We start from the raw sequence: 21,699 nt of genomic DNA, 5'->3' as shown, positions 1-21,699 counted from the left end.
GGACAAAGGATGACAGGACACTCTGCCCCTCTGTGTCTCAAAGTTCTCTTAGGTGGTGTGATTTGAGAGGTACCAGGATTTAGGGGGCAGCCTGTGACCCTAGTTCCTCTCCTGCTGATGCTTCATTCATTCCTTGAAGCTTCAATCAATCCTCTTAAAAAGAAAAGGAAACAAAAAAATTTATTAACATAAATATGTGGAATATATGTGGACTTTGGTGTTATTGACAAATATGGTTTGTATTTCTGATACACCACTTGTAGCAAAGACTTTGTACAAATTGCCTAATCACTTTGGATGAAAATAAAGACTCAGGCTGAGACAGGACTGAATGGTGGTTCTCACCATGCTCCTGGTAAAGGCTGTGTCGTTCTCTAGATATGAAAATAGAGAAGTTTATCAGGCTCTCTTTTTTTCCTGCCATTATAGAGTCACATACTGTTCAGTGGAAGAGGAGGATGAGTAGGAGGAAAGGAACTGGCTCAAAGGCTACGGAAGGATTCAGAAAAGACTTGCAGAGACTAATATCTCAAGGGTGAAGCTTGAGCTGAAGTTTCCATTAAAAGCTTCCATTGAGCAATGACCATGCCAATACTTCATATAGTAGTTTATTGATTCCTCACAGGAACACGATGCAGTAGATATTGTCATGATCATCCCAGCTTTCCAGATGGAGAAATGGAGGCTTCACGAGTTGAATTGGCATGTCTAAAGTCAGCCTGCTCATAAATGGTGAAGCTGTGAATTCAAATCAGACAAGCAGGTGTCCGAGCTTCTGGCTGCCCTGCTGCCACGCTGAATAACGACTGGCCACCCCAAAGTGCCTTCAGTCCCTCTGCAACTGGTTGGCCCAGCAATGGCAGGTGGCCATTTTTGTCTATGTCCAGTGACACCCATGAACTGACCTACTGATGTCCAAAGACAGGAAGACAGAGGAGGAGATGGAAGGATGGGGAGGGCAGAAGGCATGACATGGATGAGGCAAGAATAGCTGGAGTGAGAGACCACAGAGATCTTGGGACCAGCTGGGGCCCTGTTCAGTGTAAGGATCAAGTAGAGTCATAGAGTCACGGGACCCAGCCACGGGAAGGAGCAGGCTGAGGTTCACATTGGCACCTTGGCCCTGATTTGGTCAGAGTTCCTGCAGGCCTGAAATAGAGGGGGAAAGGAAGCCTCCATCTGTCAGAAGCGCTTCCACAGTGGAACTGTAAGCAGCCTCAGGTTTCCTCCTGGCTTCTCTAGTGTTTTCTTAGCACAGACTGCCAATTTTAGCTGTTAAGGAAAATGTATTTTTTTTAATGGAAGGACTTAGATTCTTATTCTTTCTAAAGGTTTTTGTTCATCTTTTGTGATATTCTTGAACATGCTTAGCCTTTTATTTTATACAAAACTCACCCTCTCGCATACATGGAACGTTAAAGTTGTTATAACAGATTATAGATGGGTGTTTTGTTTGTTCTAATGTGAAGTAAGAAATGCATTGGGATGGTGCATTATTTTATTATGATGTAGCTACGTCACATAACAATAAATGTTGGAAAATAAGGGAAATATTAATAACTTCAAGTTACTAATATAAAGACTGTTATAATTTTGGTCTTTTCCTTCCAGTCTATTTTTTTCATATACATGTCATCATAGTATTTGCATAATTTTACACTTCTCCTTTTTTCACTTATTATGTTGAAAGTATGGTTCCATTTGGATACATAGTCCTCATGTTATCATTTAAAAATACGTAATATAGCATTAAGTAGCTACAGCTTTTTCTTAACTATTCTATTATTGGAAATTAAGTGGTGAGGCAAATTTTGATTAATAATATTTGTGGCATTAAAAAAAGACATTGTGACTTTAAGGTAGAAAGCAAAAAATTCTTTGTTAGCTACACTAGACAGCTGATACAGAAATGCTTGTGAAAATAAAACCATGGAATCCTTCTATGGTAACTACTGTTTTTCTTTCATAAGTTACTAGAAATTACAAACAGCTTGTATTTATTGATCACCTACTATGTGTTTGGCAGTAGTTTAAGTGCTTTACAATATTAGCTAATTCATTTTATCCCCACCCTATTTAAGGAAGGCCCTATTTACAGCCTTATATCGATACACATAGATAACACCTCTGAGACACAGAAGGCTGAGTTATTTGCCCAAGTCTATTCAGCTAATAGATGACAGAGTAGGGAACCAAACTTATGCTGCCTGGCTCCACAGTTTATGTTCTTACCACTGTGTTTTTCTTTTATTCTATATTATTTTTCAATTAACAAGTAAAAATTATATATATATATTTATGGAGTACAACATGACATTTTGGTAGATGTACACATTGTGGAAGGGTTAACTCAAGCCATTGGATATAAGCATTACCTCAGAAACTTACCATTTTTTTTTTTTTGCAGTAAGAAAACTTAATGTCTTCTCTTCAGAAATTTTCAAGGTAACATTACATAATGTGTTCTTATTTTTTGCAGTCAAATGAGGTGCAATAGATCTCTTGAACTTATTCCTCCTGCCTACCTGAAATTTTGTGTCGTTAGATCAACATCTCCCAACCTCCCCACCCCAAACCTCTGGTAACCACCATTTTGTCCTCTCTTCCTATGAGATTGACTTTTTTATACTCCATATATAAGTTGGGTTATGTGGTATTTGTCTTTTTGTGCCTGGCTTATTTTACTTAATATGATATCCTCCAGGTTTATCCATGTTGTCACAAATGACAAAATTTCTTTCTTTTTGATGGTTGAATAGTATTCCATTGTGTATGTACAGCACATTTTCTTTATCCATTTGTCCACTGATGGGCACTTAAGTTAATTCCATATCCGGGCTATTGTAAATAGTGCTGCGATGAATGTGGGAGTGCAGGCATCTCTTTGATATACTGATTTCCTTTCCTTTGGATAAATACCCAAGCAGGTGGATTGCTGGATAGTATGGTAATTCTATTTTTACTTTTTTGAGGAACTTCCATGCAGTTTTCCATAATGCTCTACTAATTTACGTTTTCACCAACAGTGTACAAGTTTCCTTTTCCTCCACATTCTCTCCAACATTTGTCACCTTCCATCTATTTGATAACAGCCATTCTGACAGATGTGAGGTAACATCTCATTGCGGTTTTTGTTGTTGTCATTGTTGTTGTTTCTTTCTTTTTTTTTTTGAGATGGAGTCTCGCTCTGTTGCCAGGCTGGAGTACAGTGGCACGATCTCGGCTCACTGCAACCTCTGCTTCCCAGGTTCAAGCGATTCCCCTGCCTCAGCCTTTTGAGTAGCTGAGACTACAGGCGTGCACCACCACACCCGGCTACTTTTTTGTATTTTAGTAGAGACGGAGTTTCACTATGTTGACCAGGCTGGTCTCAATCTCCTGACCTCGTGATCCACTGGCCTTGGCCTCCCAAAGTGCCCCAAAGTGCTGGGATTACAGGTGTTAGCCACTGTGCCCAGCCCTCATTGTGGTTTATAATTTGCATTTTTCTGTTCATTAGTGATGTTGAGCAGCTTTTTCATATACCTGTTGGCCATTTGCATGTCTTTTTTTGAGAAATGTCTATTTAGGCTCTTTGTCTATTTTAATATCATGTTATTTGTCTTCTTACTATTGAGTTGTCTGAGTTCCTTATATGTTTTGGATATTAGTCCCTTATCAGATGCATGGTTTGCAAATGTATTTTCCCATTCTATGGGTTATCTCTTCACTCTGTTGATGGTTTCCTTTGCTGTATGGAAGCTTTCTAGTTTGATTTGGTCCTATTTGTCTATTTTTGCCTTTGTTGCCTGTGCTTCTGGTATCATATCCAAAAAATCTTTGCCTAGACCAATGTCATGGAGCTTTCCCCTTATGTTTTCTTCTAGTAGTTTTACAGTTTCATGTCTTACATTTAACTCTTTAATTCACTTTGAATTGATTTTTGTATATGGTGTGAGATTAGAATCTAATTTCACTCTTCTGCATGTGAATATCCAGTTTTCTCAGGAATATTTGTTGAAGAGACTGTCTTTTGCCCAATTTTGTGTTCTTATTGCCATCTTCATCAAAAACCAATTGGCCATGAGTATGTGGATTTATTTCTGGGCTCTCTATTCTGTCCCATTAGTTTATGTGTCTGTTCTTATGCCATCACCATGCTGTTTTGGCTAACATAGCTTTGTAGCATATTTTCAATACATGTAATATGATGCTTCCAGGTTTGTTCTTTTTGTTAAGGATTGCTTTGGCTATTTGGGGTCTTTTGTGGTTCCATACAAATTTTAGGATTGTTCTTCTGTTTCTGTGAAAAATGTTGATTTTGTATCCTGCAACTTTACTGAGTTTGTTATTAGTTCCAACAGCATGTTTTTAAATTGGCAGAAAACCTGTGCACATTTTTAGAAAGAGCTTGACTTGGCGGGTTACACAGATCTGGATCCAGTTTTGACTCTGCTTCTTATCAGTTGTGAGTGCTTCGGCAAGTTACTAACGCTCTATGAACTTGAGTTTCTTTAGCCATAAAATAAAATTAAATTAATAAATGTGCTATAAGGTATCAATGAAATAATATAAGTAAAGTCCTTGGCACAGTAGTAGATGCCCAACCAATGTTAGTCCCCACCTTTTCCCTGATTACCAGTCTGATCAGCAGCATGAGAAGGAGTGAGAGGACATTTCCCAAAGCTGATAATAGATGCTAAAGAAGCCTAAGCTTGGCCAGAGGTTGACAGCATGCCCAGGCAGTCACCTATTCTTCCAAAGGCTGCTCTGAGATGACTTTTATTACCTAAGGTTTTTTTTATCTGAATAACAGGACAACCTTAATCACTATACAACTCCTCCCCTTACCCCCCTATAACTTCCCCATAGTTTGTCACCCCTACCCCTGCCCCCCAACAACCAGGAGGAGCCTCAAACTCCTGTTCTTTTCAATAGCTCAGGATGCAATATAAGCTTCAATCATCTGACCCTTCTTTGAGTCTCATATTTTTTGGGTCTCCTGAGCAGGGATATGTAATTAAAATTGTCTTTTTCCTCTTGTTTATTTGCCTTATGTTAACTTACTTCATAGCCTAGCCAAAGAGCCTGAAAGGGTGGATGGAAGTCTGTTCGTATTCCCCTACTCTCTTCTCTGGTGGTTAAGACAACTCATTTCTCTGAAATGATTTTATTGTGGTTGTTCCTAATGATAAGTGACCCCTAGAAGTTTGCCTATGGCCTTTTCTGGTCCTGAGGTCAGAAGATTCCACACTAATGTGAGCAGAGATCTAGGGGGTAATTTCTCAGGGATATTTCTCTTCTGGTGTCTTAATCTATGCTGAATGATGGGGTGGAGGTCCTCCTAGGAAGAGGGAGCCACGCTCCAAAATAGGCCCGAGTGATCGATGCTCAGTTTGTTTATGTTCAGACCCTTCATGCTTTTGAAGGATAGCCTTGGCCTTGGGTTGGGCCGGGCTCTCCACTCTATTTTAGAATTGCCCACGACCTTGTGCCATTGTTCTGCTCCTCCTAATCTGGTCTCATACTTCCATGAAATCATGAGTATTTTCTATTTTCAGCAGAGAAATGAACAATGCAGAGAATATTCTCATTCTCTGTAACATGTAAACAAGCAGAGAAGAAAACCGCAGGGCTTTGCCCTCATTTCACTCCAGCCACATCGGCCTGTTTTCTGGTGTTTTCCTTGAGGTCCTTTGCTCATGCTGAAGTGCTTTCCCCTGTCTGGCTCCTCCTATGGTTGGCTTCTTTTCCTTCAAGCTTGGGCTTAGCAATTACATCCTCAGAGAAGTCATCCCTGACTTCACGACCTAAAAGAGTGTCAGGGCTTTATTAACATGTCATAGCACTCAGCTAGATGCCTTATTAGTACTTACTCAATTTGAAACTAATTCACTACCTTTGTGTATGAAAGTGCTGATTTTTCTGCACGTGTCCGCAGACAAAGAGAGGGTGGAATCCGTGTATGTGGCCTTCTGCCCCATCCACCCAGGTGAATGTCATGCTGCAGCCTAGAGAAAAATATGGGGTCCAGAGTGGCTCCCAGCCATGTCAGAGACATTATGGAATGGATGCGGCATGGATTCAGATTGAGTTGACTCAATTAGGAAGTATGAGTTAGTATGCTTTCATTTTAGATTCCGTACTTTTTGATAAACCTAGAAAGAAAGAAACAGGTGAGAGGATTTTATAGCAATTCATATATACTCATGGATTCTTTCGCCACAGTCATATTTTAAAAATACAGTTTTGGCCGGGGGCGGTGGCTCACGCCTGTAATCCCAGCACTTTGGGAGGCTGAGGCAGGTGGATCACCTGAGGTCAGAAGTTCAAGACATGCCTGACCAACATGGCGAAACCCCGTCTCTACTAAAAATACAAATTTAGCTGGGCGTGGTGGTGCATGCCTGTAATCCCAGCTACTTGGAAGGCTGAGGCAGGGGAATTGCTTGAACCTGGGAAGCGGAGGTTGCGGTGAGCTGAGATTGTGCCATTGCACACCAGCCTGCCCAAGAAGGGTGAAACTCTGTCTCAAAAAAAAAAAAAAAAAAAAAAGTACAGTTTTGGTCATGTCCATTGTCCTGCTGAAAATCTTGGTTATTTTCCATCTCTGAAAAAGCAAGTGTGAGACTCACTCCTTCTACATGTGGCAGTCAGTGGGATGCTGCTCCCTGGACATCCCTACCTCCCCTCCTCTGTCTCTTTGCACATGGCCTGCTATTTGCCCAGAGGAGCCTTCCTCCCATTTTCATTTGGTGAAATCTGTTTGTCTTCCAGGGCCTATTTTACTCACAGTAACTCTTCATAGTCTCCCTGATCCTTCAGCTAGGAAATGAGATGTTCCTAATCCATTGTCTCATAGGAAAAGAAAAAGATAAAATGTATTGAGTTTGACTACATATCAGGGGCTATTCTAGTTTTACATATGTTCACAGATATAATTTCCAAAACAACCCCATGAGAGAGGAACCAAGGAGGACACCGAGGCACAAAGAGATGAAATAAATGTCTCCAGGTCACCTAGCTAGTAAGTGGTGGGTTTAGGATTAAAGCCCAGAGAGTCTGGGCCCTTAATGGCTCCCCTTCACAGGCCGAGCATGGTGGCTCACGCCTGTAATCCCAGCACTTTGGGAAGCTGAGGCAGGTGAATCATGAGGTCAGGAGTTCAAGACCAGCCTGGCCAACATGGCAAAGCCCTGTCTCTACTAAAAATACAAAAAATTAGCTGGGTATGGTGGCACGCAGCTGTAATCCCAGCTACTTGGGAGGCTGAGGCAGGAGAATTGCTTGAACCCTGGAGGCGAGGTTGCAGTGAGCCGAGATGGCGCCACTGCACTCCAGCCCGGGCGACAGTACAAGACTGTCTCAAAAAAAAAAAAAAAAAAAAAAAAAAAGACTACCCTTCCTTGGGCTTCTTGGTAAAGTTTGTATTGCCTTTTCCCCCTAGCTTATGGGATTTTTGAGGGCCTGGACTATGTCTTGATGCCTTGTTGATCTTTTTATTTTTCAAGAGCATGCAATAATTGGGGGCTTATAACAGATGATCACTAAATTGCTTAAATGAACACATTAAGTAATATTCAACCTCGGAAAAGCCTAGGTTGAACTTTTCAAAATCACATGAAATATTCAGTCTTCATGTCAAATGTTCTATTGCTCAGGCTGATTCATTTTCTTTTGCCCCCAGGCAAGCTTTCCCACTTCTGCCCAGACTTGGTATTCAGAAGCCCAGACGATGAAGCTCAGCCAGAGTAATAACAGGGGAACAGAGACAAAGCTCCCTCTGACCTCTCTGAAGGAGAGCAGGGATTTTGCTTTGCGGGGTTGGGGGTGGGGGTCAACAGAGTCCTTGCGGTTGTTCTACTCCTCCTAATCTGGTCTCATACTTCCAATAATTTATGAGTATTTTCTATTTTCAGCAGAAGTCTGAATGTTTGTGTCCTCCCAAAATTCATATATTGAAACCTCCCCCCACTCCTCCATTGTGATAGTATTAGGAGGTAGAGCCTTTAGGAGGTAATTAGGTCATGCGGACAGAGCCCTTGTGAATGGGATTAGTGCCATGTGAAGACACAGCCAGAAAGTGCCATCTATGAGGAACAGGCCCTCATCAAACACCAAATCTGCCAGTGTCTGGATCTTGGACTTCCCAGCCTCCAGAACTACAAGAAATAAATGTGTGTTGTTTATAAATCACCCAGGTCATGGTATTCTTGCTGCAGCAACTCAAATGGGCTAAGACAGGCCTGATCACTGACCCACTTCTCCTTTGGCATTTTCATTTTTCTTTAGACCCTCAGCATACTTGGTTCTGCCCACTACTTTCAGGAGTAATTCCAGAGTCGGGATGACAAATGTCTGGCAAGATATTGCCAGTCTTCATCCAACTGTCTTTTTACAGAGATCTCTGATCAACCATAGATCCTCTCTCCTGCTAACCTTTAACAAAACCTTAGAAACTTTCCCAGCCAAGCCACTAGCAATCTAATTGAAATTGACACACCAAATGAAATATATTTGCCATCACTAGCTAGGCTTAAGCAAAGCATTTGGAGGAACCCATTCATGCAAGTAAGCACTACAGTGGCAGCAGCAGATCCTGCAATGTCCTGCCCAGACGCCCCTGTTCTTACAGTTTCAGTGCATGCTTGCTAGATATCCATCTGCAGGCCCCTGAGCTTCTCTGCTTGAGGGTCTTCAATAGCTAAAGGAATCCACTTTGTCATCTCCACACAGTAATCTAGAAATGCTAGGGGATTAATAATAAATGGTTGAATGGCTTGTGAGAATTGGGTATATAAATACCCCAGTTCCCTCATCCCTCACGTATAACAACTGTGTAACGTAGCTCCTGGAGTACTCCAACAGAAGGATTTATGCTCCAGTTACTCAAAGTGGTAATTTGCTTGATAATGAATGTTATTTTTTGGTTCTTTTGCTTTCCTATTTTACATCTCTACTCCCCTACTGTGTTGCCTGGGATTGCCTCCCAAACGAACTACTTGCATTTGAATGGTGGTTTTAGGGTCTGCTTAGGGGAGTACCCCAAGTATCTAAAGAATGACATCACTGTCATGGCCCTCATTATGCTCAAGAAATGTTGATTGGGAGATAAGTGCTTCTGATGGGAGCTCATGAGTAGGGAAGAATGGCATGGGAGGGTGAGAACAAAGGAGGCCTAAAGTCAAGGAAAGTGAAAGGTCAAGGGGTTTGTTCAATAAGTTAGTGCTACTAGAGGTTCAGGGACATGGAAAAGTAATTTGAGCTGTGTAGAGGACAGGAAGCCTGCAACCAAATATTGCCTCCTGGGAAATCATGAAATCTGACTGAAGCAGTCATCCATAAGAGCTCTTTTTTGCTCTATGCCTTTTCTTCTTGGGGAGTTTGCATATTCCCTAAGAAGAGAGATATAAAGCATCTTGAAAAACATTAAGAAGTAAACCATCGTGTAATGCCATTAGTTTTGAAGAACAAGAATTCTATTTTCTTATTTCCTTTGGAAATCTAATTGAATATTCCTTATGAAAAATTGCTTGAAGATAGCGCTTAAAATCTATTGCTCTCCACCCTGCTCCTAATGTTTTCTTGTCATTATTTATGTATGTGAAAAGCATATAGATTAAGATGATGACCTTGTAGCTGACAAGTGAAATTGTATTATGATTGTTTTGATTTGCTCTATTGAATGTGCTGTAGTCTTTACTATAGAAGAAATACCTAGGCCCAAATAATTGCCTAAAAGTCACTAGATCTTTTGACATAAAATGGCAACATCTTTTAATAGTTGATATAATAAGACCAAGTATAAAGTGAGTTCAACAAAAATCAATTGCTATGAGATTGAGTTTGTCTACTTTGATGTTCCTTATCTTTTCTGCTGGGAAGAGGAACAGATATTGTACCAAAACTAAGGATGGAGAAAGCACTGGGGGAGTTCTTTTGTCTTCTTCTGTGCAGGCCTCTCCTAGAGCCTCTTTCTCCATGTGCCTGCGATAGGAGCCCAGCATGCATGTCCATCCTAAGGGAAGGACAGTCTTGGTATAGCTCTCTGTGGAGAAGGAGGCAGGCATGGGGACAGGGATAGAAGTATGTGTGAGAAGATAATACATACTTCTTCTCATGCTAGGGAAAGGGAAGGGAGGAAAGGCAAGAATGGGGAAACCGGGGAGTTGCATGGTAGGGCTTGTAAAATGGGATGTTTGCTTTGGGTTGGAATAGTAAGAATGCGTGCAGCTCCATAGTACATGGTGTGCCCACTAGGGCACACTTCAGTTGGAAGAGCTTAAAGAATGTGAGGAGGGCCACCACGTGTAGAGAATGGTCGAATTTGGAGTGATTTCTGCAAACGCAAGTCAAGCGGATTACCAGTAAGGCTAACAGCACTACCTGGCACGTATTTCAGTGGGACTTTTAAGGTGAAGCTGGAGAAACTATACCCAAAAGACCTTATCTGTGCAATGACTGGGGTGTCTCAGAACGAGCTCTGGCTTGGAGAGAAGCAAAGAGGACGGAACAAGAGGCAAGCTAGAATTACAGAGAACTCTCCCCAACACTCGGCTTAGGTTGATTCCCATCTCGGAAGAGTCAGACTGTGGCATCAAAATGTACAGGTGAGGAAATGCATGCCAGATCACCAAGGTAATGAGTGGTGGAGGAGAAACTCAGCCCAGAACCATCTGGCCTACGTTAGTGCCTCTTCTACATGGCAGTAGAAAAGGTAGAGAGAAAGCTGTAAAATCCAACACAAGATGGACTTGGTGAGGATGCACGCAACCCTGAAGCGTGATAGGTACATTGCACTCCCAGAACTGACCATGGACTGTTGAGCTCTACCACCAGGGGAGGGAGAAGGGAAAGATGTGCCCCAAGGGTGCAGTCTTTGAAGGATCACAGGAGATGGTGGGAGGAAGCGAGGAGAGGGAGCCTCTGGATATCAAACTTGGTCCCCATGTTTTCTGGGCATCATTTTTTCACACAAGTGATAATCCAGTAATAACATGTGCATGACAGACCTGGAGAAAGTGTTGAGACTTGTGAATACATCCACCAGCTCTTCTTCTACTGCTGCTCTTTCTCCCGCCACCCAGAGCACACTTTCCACACCTCCCACACCCTTTGCCTGGCTGGCTCCTCCTCCATGACCTAGCTTGGACTTCTCCTTCTGGAAGCCTGGGCTCTGGCCTCCCATATCTTCACATGTCAGCCTTGATTCCATTATGCATGAGATGGGCATTCTGAATTTCAATGTCTGTCACCTTTTATAAACCTTGAGTCCCTTTAGACCAAGGCAGTGTCGTCAATGTTTGTTTCCCAGCTTTATTGCATAGCAAGTGCTCAACAAATGTTTCCTTTGAACTGCATCGAACTACACGACCTCTTCCTTCATGTACTTTTCATTTCTTCTTTGCTCAATGGAAGAAATAACTCTTCAAAATGATGCTTGTGGCTAGGCGTGGTGGCTCGTGCCTGTAATCCCAGCACTTTGGGAGGCCAAGGCGGGCAAATCACCTGAGGTCAGGAGTTTGAGACTAGCCTGACCAATATGGTGAAATCCTGTCTCTACTAAAAATACAAAATTAGCTGGGCATGGTGGCACATGCCTGTAATCCCAGCTACTCAGGAGGCTGAGGCAGGAGAATAGCTTGAATCTAGGAGGCGGAGGTTTCAGTGAGCCTAGATCGTGCCATTGCACTCCAGCCTGGATGACAGAGCAAGACTCTGTCTCAAAAAAAAAAATGCTGCTTGTGTCCATCATTTTTTAAAGACATTAACCATGATTGTGATCTCAATGTGCATTGACAGAAGGGGTCCAGGCAGATCACTTCACCCAGACACCAATACTTTCATTTGTGTCTCAGACTGGTGAATTTCCACAAAGCTCTTCCCTGAAAAATTTGACAGTGACTTCCCCAGTGCTCAATTACACATGGAGCTTCTGAGTGCAACTTCACAGTCACACCTGACAGATAACTGAGGACCTAGGGGTGAAACTCAGGCATTGGTAGTTTTTAAAGCTTCTCAAGTTATTCTGAGGTGCAGCCAAGGTTAAGAAGTTCTACTTAGACTTAGTCCCTTTGGCTTGCCAAAGATTGTTTCCAGATGGTGCAGTAAGATTGTTTTTCTTTCCTGAAGGATTGAGACCATTTCAGAAGAGAAGCACAATGATCTTGGTGTTCCACATGTCCTGATGGTGGATGCCTTCTCTCAATTCCCACCAGATACAACATCTGCTTTTTTCTCCTGCGGCTATGTGGTGACAAGCCTCATTAATGTTGGAAGACAGCCTGGACCCAGGACTTCCTTATTGGGAAGGATGTGCCAGGACCTGTCTCTGCGATTTACGATGCAAAGGATGTCAGTGTCACCAAGCTTTGTGCTGAAACTTCATGCTATGTTTGGACTCTGACAAAATGAAACACCAATATTTTCCTCCAAGAATTTGTTCTGTACTTTTTGGTGAGCATTAATGAACACTGTGCTGCTAAAATAGCTGAATTTAGTTTGCTGTCTCTGATAAAAATTCTTAAGCTGGTGTAAGATTTGAGTCTCCTTCAGGCTCACTGTCAGCTCATAGGACTGTATTGCTCTCCTAAGTAGTCACGATTGCAAGTCTTATTGTACACACATAGCAAAATAACTCCATGATCATCCACATGACTTTTAAAATGAATACAGTCTACAGAAATAGAAGAGCTTGCTGAATATTTGAAAATAAATGCCATAAGCTTCCAAGTTCCTTGTGGTATGCTCTAACATGGCTGCATCAAAATTGTCAAATCGGCGAAAACTGACAAATCTCTGCTGCCCTTGTGCTTGAAAGAGAATGTGGGTTTTGGAATCACACAGACTCAGGCATCAGGCTTGATTTTGTCACTTATCACTGGGAAAGGGAAAGCTTCTTAAGCGCTTTTTAAAAGTCAGTAGAAAATGGGGTCGTCTTAGCTCTGCTGAGCCTGCCCTTTCTGGAATGCTCTCTTTACAATGCGGGGGCCTCATTTCCCTGCTGCAGCCCAGATGGATTCCCCTCCTCTAGTCACTCCAACATTTGAGACAGCCGGGTGCAGGTTGCTATCCCATTCCTGAAACTAATGTCCCATAGCCACCAAGTTGGCACTTTCAAATTGAGATCTGAAGCCATATTTCAGTTCTAGGCCTGCTCCACCAGTTCTCTCTCCTGGTATTTCTACTTCATGCACTCCAACACTCTTTTTATCTCTGATTCCATATTTTCTTTAGGTTTTATTCCAGCTCCTATAAAATATTTCCAGGCAACCCTATCAGCTAATAGTCTTCCTACTTTCTCCTTATGGGTGTTTTAGAGTGAAGCTTCCTATTGGGCCACATCTTTGCAGGGGACTAACAGTGCCCATCCATGGTTAGTTACGGTGAACCTGGGGAAGCCATATAAAGTAATGGTCAATAACAGGCCTCAGGGCCGACGGGCTCTGTTCTCAGCTCTGCTCCTCCGTGGCTGTGTGACCTTGGGCAAGTGAGCTGACCTTTTCAGGTCTCCTGTCTTCATTTGAAAATAGAAGATTATAGTAACAGTGCCTTTCCTGTAGGATCCTTCGAGAATTAAAGGTGTTTCATGTAAGCAAAGTGTTCAGTGCAGTTCCTATCTTACAGCAAGACCTGTGACCCTTTCAGAGCAGAGGCACCCACTACAGCCGCACAATTGTCCACATTATTTGTACATATCAGACAAATACAAATGTTTGATGAAAGCATAACATTTTTAGCTAGGAGGGATCAGAGGATTACTGTGTCCAGTGCTTCCATTATGGAAGAGAGCAGAGGCGAGACGTTGAATGTAATGCAAGGTCACTGTTAAAAGATAAAGTGAGTCACAATAAAATTTTTAAGAGTTTATTTGAGCAAACATTGATTCACGAATCAGGCAGCACCAAACATAAAGTAGTTAGGGCCCCACTGAAGGAATAGGGAGAAGGTTTTTATAGGGTGAACACAGAAGTAAGCCAAAGAAAGTATTTGATTGATTACATATGTATAGTTGCCTTGTTTGGTCTATCTCATTGGGAAACCCCAAGTTAGATAATTATAGGTTAGTTGGTGGCTTCCAATTGGTTGAGCTTCAGTTTCACTTTTCTCTGAGATGGGCGTTATAAGAAATAGCCCATGTTAAGTTGTAATTGTGTTTGCAAATCAAGCAAGGTTAAGGTCACTTTCCAGGTCTAACTGGCTTCATGTGCGAGGGGATTTCTTCAAGCCTGTTCGCCACTGTATGTTATTTTAATATCACACAGTGGCAATGTTAAGGTAAAAACTTGAGCTTTCCTAGTAAGATGGCTAATTTTATGTGTCAAGTTGAGTGGATCATGAGATGGCCAGATATTTGGTTAAACATTATTTCTGGTTGTGTCTGTGGGGCTGTTTCCAGAAGAAATTAGCATCTGAATGGGTAGATCAAGGAAATGAATTGTCTTTGCCAGTGTGTGTGGGCATGATCTAATCCACTGAGGGCCAGAACAGAGCAAAAAGGTGGAGCAGGTGAGTTCATGCTGCCTGACTGCTCGAGCTGGGACACTGATCTCTTACCCTCGGTACTCCTGGTTCTCAGTCCTTTAGGCCAGACTAGAATCTACACCATTGGCTCTCTGGCTCTCAGGCCTTCAACCTCCTCAGGCCTACCCCACCAGCTTTTCTGGGTCTCCAGCTTGCCAATCGTGGGACTTCTCAGCCTCAATAATTGTGTGAGCAAATACCTTATAATAAATCTCTCAGTAGATACCTTATTGGTTCTGTTTCTCTGGAGAACTCTGACTGATCTATGATATACCTAGCATTCAAATTAAGGCATAGTTGGCCTGCCTGTTATCCCAGGAAAGTCATCGTTACACACCCAGTGGGACAGCAACCTCCCATCATTGCTCAAGCTTCCATGAAATTCAATGAACAATTATTCTCGTCCTCCTCCGTGATTCTAAGCACTTCATACTCACCCCAATTGCCATCATATTGTATTGTTTGCTGGCTTATAGCATCTGTTTCATCAACTGGAATATCTTCAGGACAAGGACTATTTCTCATTCCTCTGTCACTAGCCCAGTAGAGGGACTGGCATAAGGAAAAAAGTTAATAAGTAGTTGTTCAGCAAGGGGTACCATACCCACAAGCTGGGGTGGGATAAGACAAGAATTTATCAACTCAACAAATAATTCAAATAACAAAGCAGAATGGGCTCAGTGCCACTCAGGAGATGCCGACAGAGTTCAAGAGTTCCAGGGAGGCCTTCAGTTTCTGACAAATTGGCAGTTCTCTTTCTGTGTTGTTTCTGTGTTGGCACTGAGCCCTTGGGCATTGCTATCCTTGTTACCTCGGGATGTAGTGGAAACAAATGGTCGCTGGTTAAGCCCTCAGCTGTCAGGTGGCCGAGCAGCTGCTCAGGAGGACTGCCAGGTAGCGTCTGTGCCAGGTGGGGTCCTGGGAAGGAGAGGACATGGCTCCCACAGAAAGGCTGGATATTTAAGGAGCCTGTTCCTCCCCGGCATTTCTCATTGTCTACAGGAAAGTTGGTTGCTGACACTCTTGGTGACCATTTATTGGGTGGATTAATGACATCTCAGTTAACCAAGCAGGCTAGGAGGTGGAGGTCTTATGATAAGGACCTTCTTCAGCTAATAGAAGGAATATTCACTGGTGTTGAGGCCCTGTCTGGCAAAGCTCTCCTTCTCACAGGCACAAGTGTTTCTGTTAATGTTTCAATCTTATATTTACTTCACTTTCTCAACCTCATCTCTTCAGTCTTTTGAAACATCATCAAAATATTTTTAAAGGCTTCGTAAAAGTACAACTTTGGCTTGCCTTTGATGACTTTGTGGTAACAGAATCTTCTTGAGAGAAACCAATATCATTTCTCAGTAGATAGGAAGAGAAAACAGTCCTAGAGGAAAAACATTGATTAGAAAGTAAGCAGTTGCAGTAGCTCCAGAACACAATGGGGGGACTGTTAACACAATGAGCAGTTAGAATGTAAATATCAAGTTGCCTCCTAATCCCTTTGCCTAGCCTGGTTGAATAAACACAATTGAAAAGGTGAAATTATTTTTCCCCTTGAAATCAGAGTTTGAAGGGTAGCCAGCAGAAAACTCCAGAAATCATTGATAATTGTGCTCAGTATATCTGTTATCAACCTAATCTGCTATCCAAAACAGAGATTGGGCCATATCCATGGTAACTCCAGAAGCTGTTTTCTTTTCTCTGTAGTAGGTAGATAAAAAGCTCTCCATGGTGCCTCCTTTGGGGGTATGGCTTTCCCAAGCTCCGTGCTGGGCAGGAAGTTATGTCCTAGCGGTGTAGATCAGTTGAAGATGTTCATTGTCTACATGCTGTATATTCAGGCATGAGGAAATTTACCAAACTCTCTCATTAGAAAATAAAAACATGTTTCCGATTATACTGTAGTAAATTCCAAAATGCCCTGTGGTTCAATTTTTGGATATATTTGTCCTTATTTCCTTTGGGTTCTCTAAAGAACCTAACACTTGGCACAAATTAAGCACTGACTCCATGGCAGCTAAGTCTATGACTACACAGTCATCTAAGTCTATGACTTCAGATGTCTTTGGACGATGGTTATAGCTATAGGAAGAAGGATGGGACTGATTCGGAGGTTTCTGGCTGGGATGAAGAACTGTTGCTGCAATCTCTTGGCCTCCTCAGGAACTGAGCCTTATCTCTCATTTAAATTCTGCTGTCTAACACAAAGCTTGGTCCTGAGGAAGTGCTCGCTAACCCCAAATGTGCAGAGATTCCTCTTCTCTGTCGACATGGGATGGCCTAATGGACTACACTCTGGAGTCGTTAATAAGAGAAATCTTCAAACCTAGGTGCTCAGTTCAGCTACGAGAATAACTTTGGGCAACTCATTCAACTTTTCAGAGCCAAAGTTTTCTAAACTGTAAATTAGGAATAATAAAACTTAGCCTGTAGTGTTATCATCGGAGAGAAATGAGATAAGGTATTTAAAGCCTCTGAGCACTAAGCACTCAATCTGTGTTCCTTCTCTTCCCCCTTCATTCTCACTGGCGATACCTTTCCATCCTCAGTTCTGCTTACCCCTTTGTGGGAGATTGGCTCGTGGTAGCTACAGCTTTTCCCGTTCAAGTTTTAAAATGCCAGCTGCCCCAAATGACTCTGGCTTGTCTACAGCACACACATTTCTGAGGCACTGGATGATTCAGAGAGAAGTTTCTGTGCTTTGCAGGCAGCCAAGAGATCCACTTACCCAGATTTCAGTACACCATGTTTACACAGTGTTGTACATTTTTATGTTAGGCTTGTATTTCAGAATTGACTTTTGTTTTTAATAGGAAGGCAAGATTCTGGCCAACTCTAACTACCAAATTATGATTTATACATCCAAAAATCTATTTTTTTAAACTACAGTTCTGACATCCGAAAAATAAATGTTGCTCTCAGGAAATGTATAGCTACTGTGTAGATTTCAGAGACATAGATGTGGGTGACGTATGGGCAAAGATTGCAGGCCCGCCACTCTGCCCCACCCCTCCATGCTGCCAAGGGATGTCCAGGGCACTGTCCACCATCTGACAGTCACACTGCAACTCTCAAGGTGATAGCCCATGCCAAGGAAGCTTCTTTGATTTCAAACCCTTAGCTGGAAATATAACAAATATTTCTGGTGACTCCTCATTATATTTTATAAAGTACAATGTTATTCAATTATTCAAAATTCCTTGGTAACCAATATGATAGTAGCCATCTCATCCTTTAAAAATTATTATTATTATTTTAGAGACAGGATCTTGCTCTGTTGCCTAGGCTGTAATGCAGTGGCACAATAATAGCTCACTGCAGCCTTGAACTCCTGGGTTCAAGGTATCCTCTCGGCTTAGCCTCCCTAGTAGCTGGGACTACAAGCATGCACCACCATGCCCAGCTATTTTGTAATTTTTTTGTAGAGATAGGATCTGACTATGTAATTCAGAAGAGTCTCAAGCTTTTGGCCACAACCAATCCTCCTCCCTTGGCCTCTCAAAACACTTGGATTACAGCCATAAGCCACTGCACCTGCACCCGCCCTCAATTGTTTAAAAATAACCCAGGACAGGAAATTTGACAGGTTAAAATACAACAATTGAGTCTTTTTGCCTCGAGGGAGTGTTGGGCTGGGCTGGCGGACAGGTAAGGGTATTTGGGCAGCCTTCCAAGGGCCCAGGAAATGCTTGAGTGCAGAAGAAAGTTGCTAAAATGACATGCATATTAGCCAGCTCTAACAGAAGGGATAGGAAAACAGCTTGTCCTCTCAATGTGCTCTGAAAGTATGTGACATTTGTACATATGTTGTATAGATATTATTTTATTTTACAGTATATGCTTGACATTTGAAAGTGCACAGCACATTTTGTTTATTTTCTTTTGTTTTCTTTTTTTTTTTTTTTTTTTTGAGATGGAGTCTCACTCAGCCACCTAGCGGCTGATCTCGGCTCACTGCAACCTCTGCCCCCCAGGTTCAAGTGATTCTCCTGCCTCAGCCTCCCAAGTAGCTGGGACTACAGGCGCACACCACCATGCCCAGCTAATTTTTAATAGAGACTGGGTTTCACCATGTTGGCCAAGAAGGTCTTGATCTCTTGACCTCGTGATCTGCCCACGTCGGCCTCCCAAAGTGCTGGGATTACAAGCATGAGCCACAGTGCCCAGCCTGTTTATTTTTTTAAAGAATTATTACTCATATATTATCTGGTGACTATCAGTTCTCTAAATAAATGTAAATTCTCAAAGACCCTTTCTTAAATGACACTGACAAACTGACATTTGAAGTTCTCAGAATTGTCCCAGGATTTCAGCTGAAGGATGTGTCACAGCTGCAGCTATAAAACCTACTTATGTTCAACTGCCACACTGTATATATTATAGTTACGTTTTTCCAGCGCATCACATGCCGATAAATGGATGGCATTCCCGTAGGCTGTTTGTCAAGTTTTATGTTCTGGGCAAAAGGGTGTTATGTTACCATTTTAGTTGTGATCACAAAACATTCAAAATCAAAGTCCAACAGGGTTTGTTTTATGGGATGCTCACACATGTCTCAGGTTCATTTGTCTTGGGAGTTTATCAGCACACATCATAAAATGTTCCTGAGTGGTACTAATGCCAATCTAATGGAACCTAAGGTCCATAACGTGGCAATATTCATAGTGCAATGTTAGAATAATGTTCAGTGAACAGCTAGATACATAAAGTTTAATTAGTCAGAGAACAAATTTTTCAAGCTCTAAACAACTTAATTATTTGCTGGTTATCAGTATAAGAATTGCTTTCTAAGAAATACTCCCCTGAGGGAAGATGTGCAGGTGATGATAACAACAATAAAACAATCCTGCAGAATTTTTGGAACCTTAAACTTCCCACCATGAGTAGGAGTTCTTTGTCCCCCATCCCCAACCCTACACTCTTCCCTCTTACTGTATCCTGTGGATGTTCTGACCTTCTCTTTGGAGACCATTTGCTATCTGCTCCACCATTCATTCATTCATTCACTCACACATTCACTTAACAGACATTTATTGAGCATCTACCACCTGCCAACTCCCTGGTTCCTGACGCTGTGGAGTTTATAATGCAATGCAGGTCCTCTTAAGTCATCCAGTCTGGTGGCTGCTCAGCTTCCTCTTCCTGTGTCCATTACCAGGTCTGAGGGACACCGCAAAGGTCAAGTGGAGAATTGATGATTTTGCATTGCTGCTTTGAGCCTGAAATACCCTGAAATACCTCATACTGCAAACCTCTGGCTCTCAACTTCCCAACCTCAGGGCCATGGACCAGGCAGGGACAAAGAGAAGCTGGCATGGCCTCCAGTGCTACAGGAGCCAGGTAGGCTTCCAATTTCCAGTTCAGAGCCCAGCTCCCAGCTACACTAAACACTGAGCCCAAGACTGAGCAGGCTCACTTCCGACCTACACTACCTAGGTTAAACTGGCTTAAGAAAGTCTTTCTTTTATACAGTACTCAGTACAACTGTTTGCATCTCTTAGAGGAAATAACCCAAAGTATACTGAAGGGCTAATGACACGTAACTGGGTTCTCCTGGCCTATCAGGCAACTTTATATGCCAATTAGAAAAAGCAAAGGGCTCCCCTCTGGGTGAATGAATTAGAAACATGTGCCCCATTTGGGGTGGGTGTATGCTGCCTCTTGGATGCAGATCAGCCTAATGTCCATGTGCTGGACTCCAGCCCCGGCTTCTCTTCTGCTGGTACCTTCTGCAGCACGGAAACTGCATCCCCCTGAGTGGCAGCCCTGGCTTCTCTCGCTTTAGTGGGAAACATTACTCCGGAAGACAGACTGAGTTTTGGAAGTGTTGCATTCTCTCAGCCTCAGCAGGTCTCTCTTCCAGGAACACCACACCCACACTCAGCCAACTCTCATTGCCTCAACTCCAGGGTCATTGCTGCTGGGGGCTTTGCCCAGAGTGCCTACCCTGGTTTTAGTGGGCCTCCCATGCGATCCTGCACTTACCTCTACCTCAGCCCACAGCACTTTCTATTCCACAGGAAGTCTATTTGCAGGTTTGCTTCATGTGTCTAACAGGGATCCTGCGAGGACAGAGATGTTATTCTACTTAATATTGGTTCTGTCACTCTCAGCTGATGATCTTGTCTCTTGCTGGAAACAACAGAAACAGTTAGGACGGAGCTTATAGATGCTTCTTAAAAATTTTTTAAGAGATAGGGTCCAGACCGGGTGCAGGGGCCCACGCCTGTAATCCTAGCACTTTGGGAGACTGAGGCGGTCAGATCACCTGAGGTCAGGAGTTCCAGATCAACCTGGCCAACATGGCAAAACCCTGTCTCTACTAAGAATACAAAAATTAGCTGGGTGTGGTGGTGCACGCCTGTAATCACAGCTACTTGGGAGGCTGAGGCAGGAGAATCGCTTGAACCCAGGAGACAGAGGTTGCAGTGAGCCAAGATTGCACCATTGCACTCCAGCCTGGGCCACAAGAGCGAAACGCCACCTCAAAAGAAAAAAAAAAAGAGAGAATTAGGTCTGGCTATGTTGCTCAGGCTGGAGTGTAGTGCCTATTCACAGGCAGGATCACAGTACTGATCAGTATGGGAGTTTTGACTTGCTCTGGTTTTGACATGGGCTGGTTCACCCCTCCTTAGGCAACCTTATGGTTTCTGCTCCTGAGAAGTCACCATATTGATGCCAAACCTAGTGTAGACACTTGATTGGCATAGCACACTACGGCCCAGGGCTCCTGGGTTCAAGCCCGTCTCGGGCTTCGGTCTTCCAAGTAGCTGGGACTACAGATGTGTGCCATCACGCCCAGCAGAACTCATACATGCTTCTTGGAGCAAACTTATTACCCACCTGCAACTGTGTTCTACCCTCAATACTATGAAAGCACGGGCTTGTCTCTGGCCACACCCTCTCATCTACTACAGGACAACATTTCCTGCCTATGAATCATCAGGTTTTCTCCCTATCCCCATAAGAATAATAAAATGCTAATAACAGCACTTCACCCATCTCACTAAAAAAAAATCTATCTCCCACTACTGTCCAATTTCTGTTGCATTTTACAGCAAAATTGCTTTAAAGAATTGTGTGTCCTCTGTCTATACTTCTCCTCTTCCCGTTCTCTCTTGGACAGATTCTCATCACTATCACTCCACGGACACTGCTGTCAGTGAGGCCATGGTGGCCTCCATGTTGCCAGATCCAATGTTC

At 42.8% G+C, this 21,699-nt stretch overlaps 1 long non-coding RNA gene and 1 pseudogene across 2 annotated transcripts in view, besides 1 other annotated feature; one reads left to right on the top strand and one right to left on the bottom strand.

Annotated features, from left to right (window-relative positions):
* The window catches only part of LOC107985176 (uncharacterized), a 78,185-nt gene that overhangs the window by 24,325 nt on the left and 32,161 nt on the right, over positions 1 to 21,699 (top strand). The window contains exon 3 of one of the 2 annotated variants that reach the window (XR_001753340.2): positions 2,408 to 2,621. The exons of the other annotated variant lie outside the window; for it this stretch is intronic. This is a non-coding gene — a long non-coding RNA (uncharacterized LOC107985176). Of the gene's footprint in view, positions 1 to 2,407; positions 2,622 to 21,699 lie in introns of those variants that run through there. 2 annotated transcript variants of the gene reach the window in all.
* Positions 16,480 to 17,292: an enhancer, noted in NCBI's record as "NANOG-H3K4me1 hESC enhancer chr18:6605546-6606358 (GRCh37/hg19 assembly coordinates)". NCBI's record gives its function as "activates a minimal SCP1, AML or CMV promoter by ChIP-STARR-seq in primed H9 embryonic stem cells {active_cell/tissue: H9 hESC(primed)}" and the evidence as "EXISTENCE:reporter gene assay evidence [ECO:0000049][PMID:30033119]".
* Positions 21,003 to 21,299, bottom strand: RN7SL282P (RNA, 7SL, cytoplasmic 282, pseudogene; annotated as a pseudogene).

This window comes from Homo sapiens, chromosome 18 (genome assembly GCF_000001405.40).
Source record: "Homo sapiens chromosome 18, GRCh38.p14 Primary Assembly".
NCBI classification, from domain to species: domain Eukaryota; kingdom Metazoa; phylum Chordata; class Mammalia; order Primates; family Hominidae; genus Homo; species Homo sapiens.
Note: the sequence above shows the minus strand (reverse complement) of the source record. Positions and strands in the feature narration are given on the sequence as shown.